The 14,440-nt window shown below is 44.4% G+C and overlaps 1 protein-coding gene across 16 annotated transcripts in view, besides 1 other annotated feature; it reads right to left on the reverse strand.

Annotated features, from left to right (window-relative positions):
* Window positions 1-14,440, reverse strand: part of DNAH3 (dynein axonemal heavy chain 3) — a 226,349-nt gene that overhangs the window by 105,984 nt on the left and 105,925 nt on the right. For all 16 annotated transcript variants that reach the window (XM_017023432.2, NM_017539.2, XM_047434349.1 and 13 more), the window contains 5 exons: window positions 12,576-12,774; window positions 10,816-10,924; window positions 10,475-10,588; window positions 2,933-3,109; window positions 758-849 (listed from right to left, as the gene is read on the reverse strand). In XM_017023432.2, coding sequence (XP_016878921.1) covers window positions 758-849; window positions 2,933-3,109; window positions 10,475-10,588; window positions 10,816-10,924; window positions 12,576-12,774 — 691 coding nt within the window. The remainder of the gene's footprint in view (window positions 1-757; window positions 850-2,932; window positions 3,110-10,474; window positions 10,589-10,815; window positions 10,925-12,575; window positions 12,775-14,440) is intronic.
* Window positions 8,728-9,300: an enhancer, noted in NCBI's record as "NANOG-H3K27ac-H3K4me1 hESC enhancer chr16:21059143-21059715 (GRCh37/hg19 assembly coordinates)". NCBI's record gives its function as "activates a minimal SCP1, AML or CMV promoter by ChIP-STARR-seq in primed H9 embryonic stem cells {active_cell/tissue: H9 hESC(primed)}" and the evidence as "EXISTENCE:reporter gene assay evidence [ECO:0000049][PMID:30033119]".

Below are 14,440 nucleotides of genomic sequence, written 5' to 3' on the forward strand. Positions count from 1 at the left end.
CTTAGAAAACTGGACAATACTTGAATGAGATATAACCTAGTTAATTGGAGGCAATAAATGTTATATTAATAATTTTTCCTCTTCAATTCTGGAATAATTGCATATGTTTTATAGTGTTGCTTTTTTTTTTTTTTTTTTTTTTGAGACAGGGTCTCACTCCGTCACCCAGGCTGGAGTGCAGTGGTGAAATCTTGGCTCACTGCAGCCTCCGCCTCCACGGTTCAAGTGGTTCTCCTCCCTCAGCCTCCTGAGTAGCTGGGATTACAGGTGCACGCCACCAAGCCCAGCTAATTTTTGAATTTTTTGGTAGAGACAGGGTTTCCCCATGTTGGCCAGGCTGGTCTCAAACTCTTGGCCTTAAGTGATACCCCGCCTTGCCTGCCAAAGTGCTGGGATTACAGACGTGAGCCACCACACCCGGCCTTATACTATTTGTTGCCTTAAGCCATTTAGTAATGTGGGTATGGATGTGTTAGAGTGAGAGGTGAGGAAGATATGAGTAGCTACTTTCTTTAACAGAACTCAGGTGTATGTAAAGAGACAGCAGGGTTCCGCCCTGGGAATCTGGGCCATTTCCCCGTCAGAAATGGGGCAAGACCAAGGCCAGGGCTATGTGCTCTCAGACCACCCAGTAAGCAGAAGCAAGTTTCTCAAGCTTCTCTCTCTTCTTCCAATGGGCAAACCACCTTGAATCTGCCACGCAAAAAGCCGCTATTTAAAGTCCTTTAGAATGCACTGGAAAACCCATGTAACACACCTTCTGGAGTCCAGAAACCCCATGGAGTAGAGGGAGATTTCTCCAATGAGGGCGTAATCTGGGACCATCATGGCCACTGTCCGGAACAAGGCCTGGAAAAGAAACAACAAATCAGAATCGGAACACGTGCAGTGAATACTGAGGGAACGCACATTCACAGAAGCAAAGGGAAGTAGCTTTGCTTCATTCAGGCCACTCCAGTGACAATAAAGGCAAGAAGGACTGGGGGACAAGTGAGTGCAGATGGACCATCCTCGGTGGGCCAATGCATGGCTCAACCAACCTCCCCACTGGCCCTATGCGGGTACATGTTGTTACTTACATTGGGTCCCTCAATGGTTCTGTGGAAGGCCCTAGGTGCTGGTACACCTCATTCTCCTATGCCAAATGAGGACACCTCATAGCATCACTCAACTGTTGGAGCTTCCCAGTGTTCAACATGGACATCAGAAGTCATTTAGGAATGCAGAACCAATATGCATCAGAAGAATCCCAAAGCCAGACAGATTTTTTTTTTTTTTTTTTTTTTTTTTTTAAGACAGAGTCTCTGTCACCCAGGCTGGAGGGCAGTGGCACGATCTTGGCTCATTGCAACCTCCGCCTCCCAGGTTCAAGCGATTCTCGTGCCTCAGCCTCCCAAACACCTGGGGATTACAGGTGCCCAACACCAGGCCCAGCTAATTTTTATATTTCTAGTAGAGATGGGGTTTCATCATGTTGGCCAGGCTTGTCTTGAACTCCTGACCTCAGATGATCCAACAGCCTCAGCCTCCCAAAGTGTTCAGATTAAGGCGTGAGCTACCGCGCCCAGCCAGACAGATCTTGATTTGAGTTCTTGTTTTGCTACCGACTAGCATGGGCAAGTTATACAACCCTTGTAGATCTCTATTCTTTCATCTCAAAACAGACTAACTTTACCCTCTTCATAGAGTTATCATGAGAATAAATGATAGAATGCAACTGAAGTGCTTGCAAGAGTATGTGGCACATAGTAAGTGTTCAGTATGCACCAGCTATTGCATTATTATCTTAGATCTTAGAGGAGAAGTAACTTGCCTGAGTCACCCAGTTAGAGCTAGAGCCAGGGCTAGAATCTAGGCTTCCTGACACCATGCCTGGGTGCTTTCTACTATCCCATGGCATTGTGAAAGCTGCTTGTGACGATCTAATATGGCTGTTGGCTGGGATGGATGCAGGGGGTGCTTACAAATACTGGGCAGTAAAAAATGAGAAATGTGGCTGGGACTGGTGGCTCACACCTGTAATCCCAGTGCTTTGGGAGGCCGAGGCAGGCAAATTGCCTGAGGTCAGGAGTTTGAGACCAGCCTGGCCAACATGGTAAGACTCTATCTCTACTAAAAATACAAAAATTAGCTGGGCATGGTGGCGCATGGCTATAGTCCCAGCTACTCAGGAAGCTGAGGCAGGAGAATCACTTGAACCTGGGAGGCAGATGTGGCAGTGAGCCAAGATCATGCCACTGCATTCCAGCCTGGGGGACAGAATGAGACTCCATCTCAAAAAAAAAGAGAGAGAGAAATGTGGATCCAAATTCTATCTTGGCCTTCACTGGCCTATGTTGACCTAGATGGGAGGAGCCACTTGAAGCATCTCTCTGACTCTTTTCTCTTCTCAGAGAGAAGTGGTCCATCTGAGTAAGTTTCCAGGGCACCAGTCAGAATGCATTAGTAACAGGGGGTAGACCATGTCCTAAAGTCCGTGGATATGGGCGTAGCTGGGTCTCTCTTATCACTTCCACCCAAGGGGATGGAGGAATAAATTTACCCCCAGGTAGGTACCTCCAGAGGTTTCTTTTCTTTCGCTTTGTTTTTTTTGAGATGGAGTTTCACTCTTATCTCCTAGGCTGAGTGCAACGGCGCTATCTCCGGCCACCACAACCTCTGCCTCCCACATTCAACTGATTCTTCTGCCTTAGCCTCCTGAGCAGCTGAGTGGGATTACAGGTACATGCCACCATGCCCGGCTAATTTTTGTATTTTTAGTAGAGATGGGGTTTCACCACATTGGACAGGCTGATCTCGAGCTCCTGACCTCAGGTGATTTGCCCACCTTGGCCTCCCAAAGTGCTGGGATTATAGGTGTGAGCCGCCACACCCGGCCCAGAGGTTTCTATTCTAAAAAGCACACCCCACATGTATATCTGCTGGCATTTACCTTGAGATTGTCGGGCAGTTCAGCCCTGCCAGCATACCCGGGGTTCATGGTGATGAACACAGCGCAGGTTGGGTTCAGAGAGAGCTCAGTCCCTTCAAAGATGAATGTCTTTAGCTTCCGAATGATGGCTTGTTGGATGCTGAGGATCTGCTGAGCGACCACAGACAGCACTTCTACCTGGGGTGAGAATGCCCGGCTGATAAGAGCATCTGCTTCTGTCTGACAACCACCCTACTCTACCGGAGTCCTCCCACATAGCAAAGAAAGAACCCAATCACCCAAAAACCGCACCTGCACATTCAAAATTAGGAGCATGATTTGGGGTTTTGGTAAGAAAAAAGAATATAGGTTTGTGCATGTGTGCATGTGCGTGTGTGTGTGTGTTAATAGTTTCCATAGTACTTTATCTTTGTTTCAACACCTAGCATAGTACTTGACACACAGTAGGTATTCTGTGTTTATTGGTTCAAAGATCAGGGATTTTTATATTTCCTGATCTTTATTCATCATCCAAAGAGAATTATACACTCTTTTGTGATGCATCTTTTGTACTTCTACTATAGACTTTTAGCACGTTGGTATTTGTTTCATTAAATTTTTTATTTCCCTTTACTAGATCGCAACAGTCTAGACAGCAAGATCTTTTTTCTTTTTTTTAATTATTATACTTTAAGTTTTAGGGTACACGTGCACATTGTGCAGGTTACATATATATACATGTGCCATGCTGGTGCGCTGCACCCACTAACTCGTCATCTAGCATTAAGTATATCTCCCGATGCTATCCCTCCCCACTCCCACCACCCCACAACGGTCCCCAGAGTGTGATATTCCCCTTCCTGTGTCCATGTGATCTCACTGTTCAGTTCCCACCTATGAGTGAGAATATGCGGTGTTTGGTTTTTTGTTCTTGCGATAGTTTACTGAGAATGATGATTTCCAGTTTCATCCATGTACCTACAAAGGACATGAACTCATCATTTTTTATGGCTGCATAGTATTCCATGGTGCATATGTGCCACATTTTCTTAATCCAGTCTATCATTGTTGGACATTTGGGTTGGTTCCAAGTCTTTGCTATTGTGAATAATGCTGCAGTAAACATACGTGTGCATGTGTCTTTATAGCAGCATGATTTATAGTCATTTGGGTATATACCCAGTAATGGGATGGCTGGGTCAAATGGTATTTCCAGTTCTAGATCCCTGAGGAGTCGCCACACTGACTTCCACAATGGTTGAACTAGTTTACAGTCCCACCAACAGTGTAAAAGTGTTCCTATTTCTCCACATCCTCTCCAGCACCTGTTGTTTCCTGACTTTTTAATGATTGCCATTCTAACTGGTGTGAGATGGTATCTCATCGTGGTTTTGATTTGCATTTCTCTGATGGCCAGTGATGATGAGCATTTTTTCATGTGTTTTTTGGCTGCATAAATGTCTTCTTTTGAGAAGTGTCTGTTCATGTCCTTTGCCCACTTTTTGATGGGGTTGTTTGTTTTTTTCTTGTAAATTTGTTTGAGTTCATTGTAGATTCTGGATATTAGCCCTTTGTCAGATGAGTAGGTTGCAAAAATTTTCTCCCATTTTGTAGGTTGCCTGTTCACTCTGATGGTAGTTTCTTTTGCTGTGCAGAAGCTCTTTAGTTTAATTAGATCCCATTTGTCAATTTTGTCTTTTGTTGCCATTGCTTTTGGTGTTTTAGACATGAAGTCCTTGCCCATGCCTATGTCCTGAATGGTAATGCCTAGGTTTTCTTCTAGGGTTTTTATGGTTTTAGGTCTAACGTTTAAGTCTTTAATCCATCTTGAATTGATTTTTGTATAAGGTGTAAGGAAGGGATCAAGTTTCAGCTTTCTACATATGGCTAGCCAGTTTTCCCAGCACCATTTATTAAATAGGGAATCCTTTCCCCATTGCTTGTTTTTCTCAGGTTTGTCAAAGATCAGATAGTTGTAGATATGCGGCATTATTTCTGAGGGCTCTGTTCTGTTCCATTGATCTATATCTCTGTTTTGGTACCAGTACCATGCTGTTTTGGTTACTGTAGCCTTGTAGTATAGTTTGAAGTCAGGTAGGGTGATGCCTCCAGCTTTGTTCTTTTGGCTTAGGATTGACTTGGCGATGCGGGCTCTTTTTTGGTTCCATATGAACTTTAAAGTAGTTTTTTCCAATTCTGTGAAGAAAGTCATTGGTAGCTTGATGGGGATGGCATTGAATCTGTAAATTACCTTGGGCAGTATGGCCATTTTCATGATATTGATTCTTCCTACCCATGAGCATGGAATGTTCTTCCATTTGTTTGTGTCCTCTTTTATTTTGTTGAGCAGTGGTTTGTAGTTCTCCTTGAAGAGGTCCTTCACATCCCTTGTAAGTTGGATTCCTAGGTATTTTATTCTCTTTGAAGCAATTGTGAATGGGAGTTCACTCATGATTTGGCTCTCTGTTTGTCTGTTGTTGGTGTATAAGAATGCTTGTGATTTTTGTACATTGATTTTGTATCCTGAGACTTTGCTGAAGTTGCTTATCAGCTTAAGGAGATTTTGGGCTGAGACAATGGGGTTTTCTAGATATACAATCATGTCGTCTGCAAACAGGGACAATTTGACTTCCTCTTTTCCTAATTGAATACCCTTTATTTCCTTCTCCTGCCTAATTGCCCTGGCCAGAACTTCCAACACTATGTTGAATAGGAGTGGTGAGAGAGGGCATCCCTGTCTTGTGCCAGTTTTCAAAGGGAATGCTTCCAGTTTTTGCCCATTCAGTATGATACTGGCTGTGGGTTTGTCATAGATAGCTCTTATTATTTTGAAATACGTCCCATCAATACCTAATTTATTGAGAGTTTTTAGCATGAAGGGTTGTTGAATTTTGTCAAAGGCTTTTTCTGCATCTATTGAGATAATCATGTGGTTTTTGTCTTTGGCTCTGTTTATATGCTGGATTACATTTATTGATTTGCGGATATTGAACCAGCCTTGCATCCCAGGGATGAAGCCTACTTGATCAGGGTGGATAAGCTTTTTGATGTGCTGCTGGATTCGGTTTGCCAGTATTTTATTGAGGATTTTTGCATCGATGTTCATCAAGGATATTGGTCTAAAATTCTCTTTTTTTGTTGTGTCTCTGCCTGGCTTTGGTATCAGAATGATGCTGGCCTCATAAAATGAGTTAGGGAGGATTCCCTCTTTTTCTATTGATTGGAATGGTTTCAGAAGGAATGGTACCAGTTCCTCCTTGTACCTCTGGTAGAATTCGGCTGTGAATCCATCTGGTCCTGGACTCTTTTTGATTGGTAAGCTATTGATTATTGCCACAATTTCAGCTCCTGTTATTGGTCTATTCAGAGATTCAACTTCTTCCTGGTTTAGTCTTGGGAGAGTGTATGTGTCCAGGAATTTATCCATTTCTTCTAGATTTTCTAGTTTATTTGCGTAGAGGTGTTTGTAGTATTCCCTGATGGTAGTTTGTATTTCTGTGGGATCGGTGGTGATATCCCCTTTATCATTTTTTATTGTGTCTATTTGATTCTTCTCTCTTTTTTTCTTTATTAGTCTTGCTAGCAGTCTATCAATTTTGTTGATCCTTTCAAAAAACCAGCTCCTGGATTCATTAATTTTTTGAAGGGTTTTTTGTGTCTCTATTTCCTTCAGTTCTGCTCTGATTTTAGTTATTTCTTGCCTTCTGCTAGCTTTCGAATGTGTTTGCTCTTGCTTTTCTAGTTCTTTTAATTGTGAAGTTAGGGTGTCAATTTTGGATCTTTCCTGCTTTCTCTTGTGGGCATTTAGTGCTATAAATTTCCCTCTACACACTGCTTTGAATGCGTCCCAGAGATTCTGGTATGTTGTGTCTTTGTTCTCGTTGGTTTCAAAGAACATCTTTATTTCTGCCTTCATTTCGTTATGTACCCAGTAGTCATTCAGGAGCAGGTTGTTCAGTTTCCATGTAGTTGAGCGGTTTTGAGTGAGATTCTTAATCCTGAGTTCTAATTTGATTGCCCTGTGGTCTGAGAGATAGTTTGTTATAATTTCTGTTCTTTTACATTTGCTGAGGAGAGCTTTACTTCCCAGTATGTGGTCAATTTTGGAATAGGTGTGGTGTGGTGCTGAAAAAAATGTATATTCTGTTGATTTGGGGTGGAGAGTTCTGTAGATGTCTATTAGGTCCGCTTGGTGCAGAGCTGAGTTCAATTCCTGGGTATCCTTGTTGACTTTCTGTCTCATTGATCTGTCTAATGTTGACAGTGGGGTGTTAAAGTCTCCCATTATTAATGTGTGGGAGTCTAAGTCTCTTTGTAGGTCACTCAGGACTTGCTTTATGAATCTTGGTGCTCCTGTATTGGGTGCAAATATATTTAGGATAGTTAGCTCTTCTTGTTGAATTGATCCCTTTACCATTATGTAATGGCCTTCTTTGTCTCTTTTGATCTTTGTTGGTTTAAAGTCTGTTTTATCAGAGACTAGGATTGCAACCCCTGCCTTTTTTTGTTTTTCATTGGCTTGGTAGATCTTCCTCCATCCTTTTATTTTGAGCCTATGTGTGTCTCTGCATGTGAGATGGGTTTCCTGAATACAGCACACTGATGGGTCTTGACTCTTTATCCAATTTTCCAGTCTGTGTCTTTTAATTGGAGCATTTAGTCCATTTACATTTAAAGTTAATGTTGTTATGTGTGAATTTGATCCTGTCATGATGATGTTAGCTGGTTATTTTGCTCGTTAGTTGATGCAGTTTCTTCCTAGTCTCGATGGTCTTTACATTTTGGCATGATTTCGCAGCGGCTGGTACCGGTTGTTCCTTTCCATGTTTAGTGCTTCCTTCAGGAGCTCTTGTAAGGCAGGCCTGGTGGTGACAAAATTTCTCAGCATTTGCTTGTCTGTAAAGTATTTTATTTCTCCTTCACTTATGAAGCTTAGTTTGGCTGGATATGAAATTCTGGGTTGAAAATTCTTTTCTTTAAGAATGTTGAATATTGGCCCCCACTCTCTTCTGGCTTGTAGGGTTTCTGCAGAGAGATCCGCTGTTACTCTGACGCGCTTCCCTTTGAGGGTAACCCGACCTTTCTCTCTGGCTGCCCTTAACATTTTTTCCTTCATTTCAACTTTGGTGAATCTGACAATTATGTGTCTTGGAGTTGCTCTTCTCGAGGAGTATCTTTGTGGCATTCTCTGTATTTCCTGAATCTGAACGTTGGCCTGCCTTGCTAGATTGGGGAAGTTCTCCTGGATAATATCCTGCAGAGTGTTTTCCAACTTGGTTCCATTCTCCCCATCACTTTCAGGTACACCAATCAGACGTAGATTTGGTCTTTTCACATAGTCCCATATTTCTTGGAGGCTTTGCTCATTTCTTTTTATTCTTTTTTCTCTAGACTTCCCTTCTCGCTTCATTTCATTCATTTCATCTTCCATCGCTGATACCCTTTCTTCCAGTTGATCGCACCGGCTCCTGAGGCTTCTGCATTCTTCACGTAGTTCTCTAGCCTTGGTTTTCAGCTCCATCAGCTCCTTTAAGCACTTCTCTGTATTGGTTATTCTAGTTATACATTCTTCTAAATTTTTTTCAAAGTTTTCAACTTCTTTGCCTTTGGTTTGAATGTCCTCCCATAGCTCAGAGTAATTTGATCGTCTGAAGCCTTCTTCTCTCAGCTCGTCAAAGCCATTCTCCATCCAGCTTTGTTCCGTTGCTGGTGAGGAACTGCGTTCCTTTGGAGGAGGAGAGGTGCTCTGCTTTTTAGAGTTTCCAGTTTTTCTGTTCTGTTTTTTCCCCATCTTTGTGGTTTTATCTACTTTTGGTCTTTGATGATGGTGATGTACAGATGGGTTTTTGGTGTGGATGTCCTTTCTGTTTGTTAGTTTTCCTTCTAACAGAGAGGACCCTCAGCTGCAGGTCTGTTGGAGTACCCTGCCGTGTGAGGTGTCAGTGTGCCCCTGCTGGGGGGTGCCTCCCAGTTAGGCTGCTCGGGGGTCAGGGGTCAGGGACCCACTTGAGGAAGCAGTCTGCCCGTTCTCAGATCTCCAGCTGCTTGCTGTGAGAACCACTCCTCTCTTCAAAGCTGTCAGACAGGGACATTTAAGTCTGCAGAGGTTACTGCTGTCTTTTTGTTTGTCTGTGCCCTGCCCCCAGAGGTGGAGCCTGCAGAGGCAGGCAGGCCTCCTTGAGCTGTGGTGGGCTCCACCCAGTTCGAGCTTCCAGGCTGCTTTGTTTACCTAATCAAGCCTGGGCAATGGCGGGCGCCCCTCCCCCAGCCAGGCTGCCGTCTTGCAGTTTGATCTCAGACTGCTGTGCTAGCAATCAGCGAGACTCCGTGGGCGTAGGACCCTCCGAGCCAGGTGCAGGATATAATCTCGTGGTGCCCCGTTTTTTAAGCCCATCAGAAAAGCGCAGTATTCGGGTGGGAGTGACCCGATTTTCCAGGTGCCGTCTGTCACCCCTTTCTTTGACTCAGAAAGGGAACTCCCTGACCCCTTGCGCTTCCCAGGTGAGGCAATGCCTCGCCCTGCTTCGGCTGGCGCACGGTGCACGCACCCACTGACCTGCGCCCACTGTCTGGCACTCCCGAGTGAGATGAACCCGGTACCTCAGATGGAAATGCAGAAATCACCCGTCTTCTTCGTCGCTCACGCTGGGAGCTGTAGACCGGAGCTGTTCCTATTCGGCCATCTTGGCTCCTCCCTCCTTTTTTTTTTTTTTAAACAGAGTTTCACTCCCAGCCTGGAGTGCAATGGTTAGATCTTGGCTCATTGCAACCTCCGCCTCCCAGGTTCAAGCCATTCTCCTGCTTCAGCCTCCCGAGTAGCTGGGGTTACAGGCACTCACCACCATGCCCAGCTGATTTTTATATTTTTAGTAGAGACAGGGTTTCACCATGTTGGCCAGGCTGGTCTTGAACTCCTGACCTCAGATGATCCACCTGCCTTGGCCTCCCAAAGTGCTGAAATAACAGGTGTGAGCCACCGCGCTCAGCCAAGACTTTTTTTTTTTTTAAGAGACAAAGTCTCACTCTCACCCAGGCTGGAATGCAGTGGCGGCATCAAAGCTCACTTCAGCCTCGAACTCCTGGGCTCAAGCAATCCTCCTGCCTCAGCCTCTTGAATAGCTGAGGCTATTTTATTTTTGTAGAGACAGGGTCTCAACTGTGTTGCCCAGGCTGGTCTCAGACTCCTGGGCTCAAGTGATCCTCCCACCTTGGCCTCCCAAAGTGTCAGGATTACAGGTGTGAGCCTCTGTGCCTGGCTATACAACCATTTCATGCTCATCTCTGTTGCATGAACTTATGCAGAATCTCTGATGTATAGTAGCTGCTCAGTAGCTACTATGGGCAAGTGAATGAATTAATATGATGGGGAGATGGGGCTATGTGTATAAAACATGCATCTGTCTCCTTGAGAGTCCTTTTGTTTAGTTCACTGAGTACCTGCTTTGGAGGTTCTTGTGTCTGCCATACAAGAGATATAAGGCCCTGTTATTAAGGGGTGCAGAGCCAAGAAAAAAGCCCCTCCATGCACAGCTTCTTTGTTCTGCAGCCTAGAGGCAGAGTTACCTCGATCCTGTTGAACTCATCAAAGCACGCCCATGCTCCAGCCTGTGCCAGCCCCTTGAAGAACTTCCCCATAGCTTTGTAATCCAAACCATCGGAGCAGTTGAAGACCACACACTAGAAAGAGGGAGGATGTGGGTATCATTCAGGGTGGATTCCATCCCATCTGAATTACCCCGCACCATTCAACAGCAGTGGGCTCCTCTCTCCTTGCTCTGCTTGAAGGAGCTGGGGCCCATGCTGCCTGTTAATGCTAAACCATCTTAAAGTTGATGCCTACTTCCCACAGGAGGGGTGCAGAGAGGGCCTGGAAGAGAGGGAGGGGATAGATGGCATTTGCTTACCTGCTTAGCCAAGGCTTTGGCCAAATCTTTGGTGGTTTCTGTCTTGCCAGTCCCAGCTGGACCCTCTGGAGCACCCCCAAGGTTCAGCTTCAAAGCTCCCATCAGTGTCCTATGGGGAAGAAAATAGAACTTCAGTGCTTGAGGTCTAAGACACAGGAAAGAAACCGGCTTTTCATTTATTTTGACTCATACAAATATTTAGGTTAGTGCAAAAGTGATTGCAGTTTTTGCCATTGAAAGTAATGCTAAAAGCCGCGATGACTTTTGCACCAACCAAATAGTTAAAATTTTTCCCAATTATATGAGCAATACAATATCACTGTATTTTACTCGGCATTGTAACCTCAGAGCCCAGCACAGTGTCCAGCACATGAGTGGCACCCATGAATATTTGTTTGAATGAATAAATGAATACATGCATACCTATATAAATGAATCAAATAAAAGTGAGAATACTCATAAACTCTACATTCCAAAGATCACCAGTGCTAATGGAATGGTTAAAATATATTTCTCCAACTAGATTATGAATTCTTTTTTTTCTTTTGAGACAGGTTCTCACTCTGTCGCCCAGGCTGGAGTGCAGAGGCATGGTCACAGCTCACTGCAGCCTTGACCTCCTGGGCCCAAGTGATACTCCCATCTCAGCCTCCCAAGTAGCTGGGACTTACAGGCACACACCACCACACCCAGTTAATTTTCATATTTTTTGTAGAGATGGGATTTTGCCATGTTGCCCAAGCGGGTTGGTCTCAAACTTCTGGGATCAAGTGATCCACCCACCTTGGCCTTCCAAAGTGCTGAGACTACAGGCGTGAGCCACCATGCCCAGCTAGATTATGAACTCTAAAGTTCAGGAATCATATTTGATTCCATTTCATAACCTCAGTAAATTAATACAGCTCCTGGCATGTAATAGGTGCAAGATAAATGTTAGAAATGAATGATGTAATAACTGTGGTTCCATGGCCCATGGTATGAGTTTCTATGTTTTCATTTAGCACTCTATCTTGTAATCATTTGAATATGTCTCTCCCGACCCCCCAGTTAGATTTAGGGTTTCTTGAGGTCATGCATGGTGCACAGGAAACCTCAAAAAATGGTTGTTGAATAATAAGTGGAATAAATAAATGAATGAAGAGCAAAAATCATAGACCATAAAAAACAAGTGGTTGAGGATTTTGAAGGGAGAAAATACTCCCAAGTATTAGTTTTACAATCTAAAAAACTCTCACTGTAAGGAAATATATAAAAGCAAAGAACATCTAAACATCACAAAACCGACAAGTTCACAAAATCCCGATCTCAAAGGCTGAGTTCCACAGAAAATGTCAGAGGACTTTGCTGAGCACAGAATGGCCAGCTTTTTTCATGAGACTGGCTGGCAGAGCATAGAGACCCCTTGGCTACGTTCTTGACCTCACTTCTTGTCTATCTTATGGCCATAGGATCTCCAGGCACCATCTTGATTCCTGCCATTGGAGAGCCCTCTACGTTAAGTCCTGTGTCATGTTCACGGATGTGCACCAATATTCCACTTGTTGGTTCAAATACATTGATTTGCACTAGAATTCCTACTGGGTTCTCATGTCTAGCCTGAAGACCTAGTTTGCATGCCCATCTTTGGGACTATGGAGAATCTAATAATCTGAAGTGTGAAGGGTAAAGGTAACCCAAGACATCCCTAACTTTCCTCCCCAGAGTCTTCTTCCCCTGGAGTTCTCCGTTCACCCCTCAGATCTAGGAGCTCCAGAGTGTACCTGTAGCAGCGGTCGGTGAGGGGTGTGATCACCAGCCGGGGGGAGTTTCCCAGGTACTCATAGCCATACAAGGCTTCTGTGGTGATAATCTGCACCTGCACATCCTTGGCCACCCAGTAGTAGCGCAGCTGTGAGATCCATTGGAAATCATTCAGATCGGAGACCCTGTCCTCAGATAACTTGGCCACCACGTCGCGGGCTGTTGGGACACAGATGCAGAAACACGCACACAGAGCCATCAGAACTCTCCATCTTTGTAAGCTCCTCAGTTACAAGTGGATGTTATCAAGGTCCCCCATTCTCCAAACTATTTTATTTTATTTTATTTTATTTATTTTTTGCGATGGAGTCTCGCTCTGTCCCCCATTCTGGAGTGCAATGGCGCGATCTCGGCTCATTGCAACCTCTGCCTCCTGGGTTCAAGCGATTCTCCTGCCTCAGCCTCCCAAATAGCTGGGATTATAGGCGCACGCCACCACACCTGGCTAATTTTTGTATTTTTAGTAGAGATGGGGTTTCAACATGTTGGCCAGGCTGGTCTCCAACTTCTAACCTCAAGTGATCCGCCTGCCTCGGCCTCCCAAAGTGCTGAGATTACAGGCGTGAGCCACCGTGCCCAGCCCAAACAATTTTAGATTTCACAAGCCTCCTTGCCCACCCCCAACCTGCAGGCAGCAATATCTGTTAGAAGCTGGTCTTTGCTTTCTCCCAAAGCCAGGCAGAGAATCTGCTGCACTATCTTCTCTCAGACAGCACGGCAGAGGTATTAAAAGGTGCGTGCTCTGAAATCAGACTGGCTGCGTTCAAATTCTGATTCCACCATGACCTAGCTATGTGACTTTGGGTAAGTTCCTTGACCTCTCTGTTCTTCAGTTGTGTAATCTGTAAAATAGGGATAACATAGTACCTACATTATAGAGTTATCATGAGGATTAAATGAATATATAGGTACATACATACATATCTACAGCTAGACACAATAGAGAGAGAAAGAGAGCTGTCCTTGGCATATGAAAATGTTATACAGGTATTAGCTATTGTTATCATCCCCAAATTCTTGGAAGTCTGAGCCAGAGAGCTTTGCAATGCATAGTGACTCCAAATTCCATCCTATTTCCAGTATAACCCTTTTGGTCCCATTTCAGGCCCCTAGGATATCCTAGGAGAATGCAATCAGCGTGGCCTTATATAGCAGGGGAAGGAAGCCCGAGAATCCATGGTTAGATGTATCCTTTCCATCTGGGGGCCTGAGAAACCAGCTGGGAGATACATTTCTAGCTCTTCTTTTTTCTCTCATGGGAACGTAAGCCCTGATTTAATTTTATCCAAGTGACAGGGGCCTTGAAGTTGAAGAGTGGATCTAGGCTGATGAGAATCATTCATTACGTTTTTGGTAACTCAGGTGGAGAGCTATGGAGATCTCAGAGCTAGTACAGCCGACTCAAAATTAGGACCTCAGAAACGTCACTTTTCAAAGGGTTGCTTCCATTGAGCCTTTCCTTCCTCTCTGTGACAGAGTCTTCTTTATTACAGTAAAATAAAAAACCCTGCAGGGAAGAGTCCTTGAAGAAGATTATATCCACAGCTTTTTCTTCCTTCCCAAGGAATTTAATTCCCCTCCTGGCTCTTGGGTGAATATATAGGGGAACCACCTGATACATTCTCCCAAGGAAGAGGGTATAGGGCAGGAGTATGGTATGCCTGAGGGATCCAAGAGGAAAGCGAATTTCAAGGGTTTGAGTTGGGGATGCCTTCGCTATACAGTGTGTGTATGTGCACTTGCATGTGTGTGTGTATGTGCCATTGTGTACATGTGTGCATACATGCATGCTTGTGTTTGTGAACCCAACCACACTGGGGTACCC

Source organism: Homo sapiens, chromosome 16 (assembly GCF_000001405.40).
Source record: "Homo sapiens chromosome 16, GRCh38.p14 Primary Assembly".
NCBI classification, from domain to species: Eukaryota; Metazoa; Chordata; class Mammalia; order Primates; family Hominidae; genus Homo; species Homo sapiens.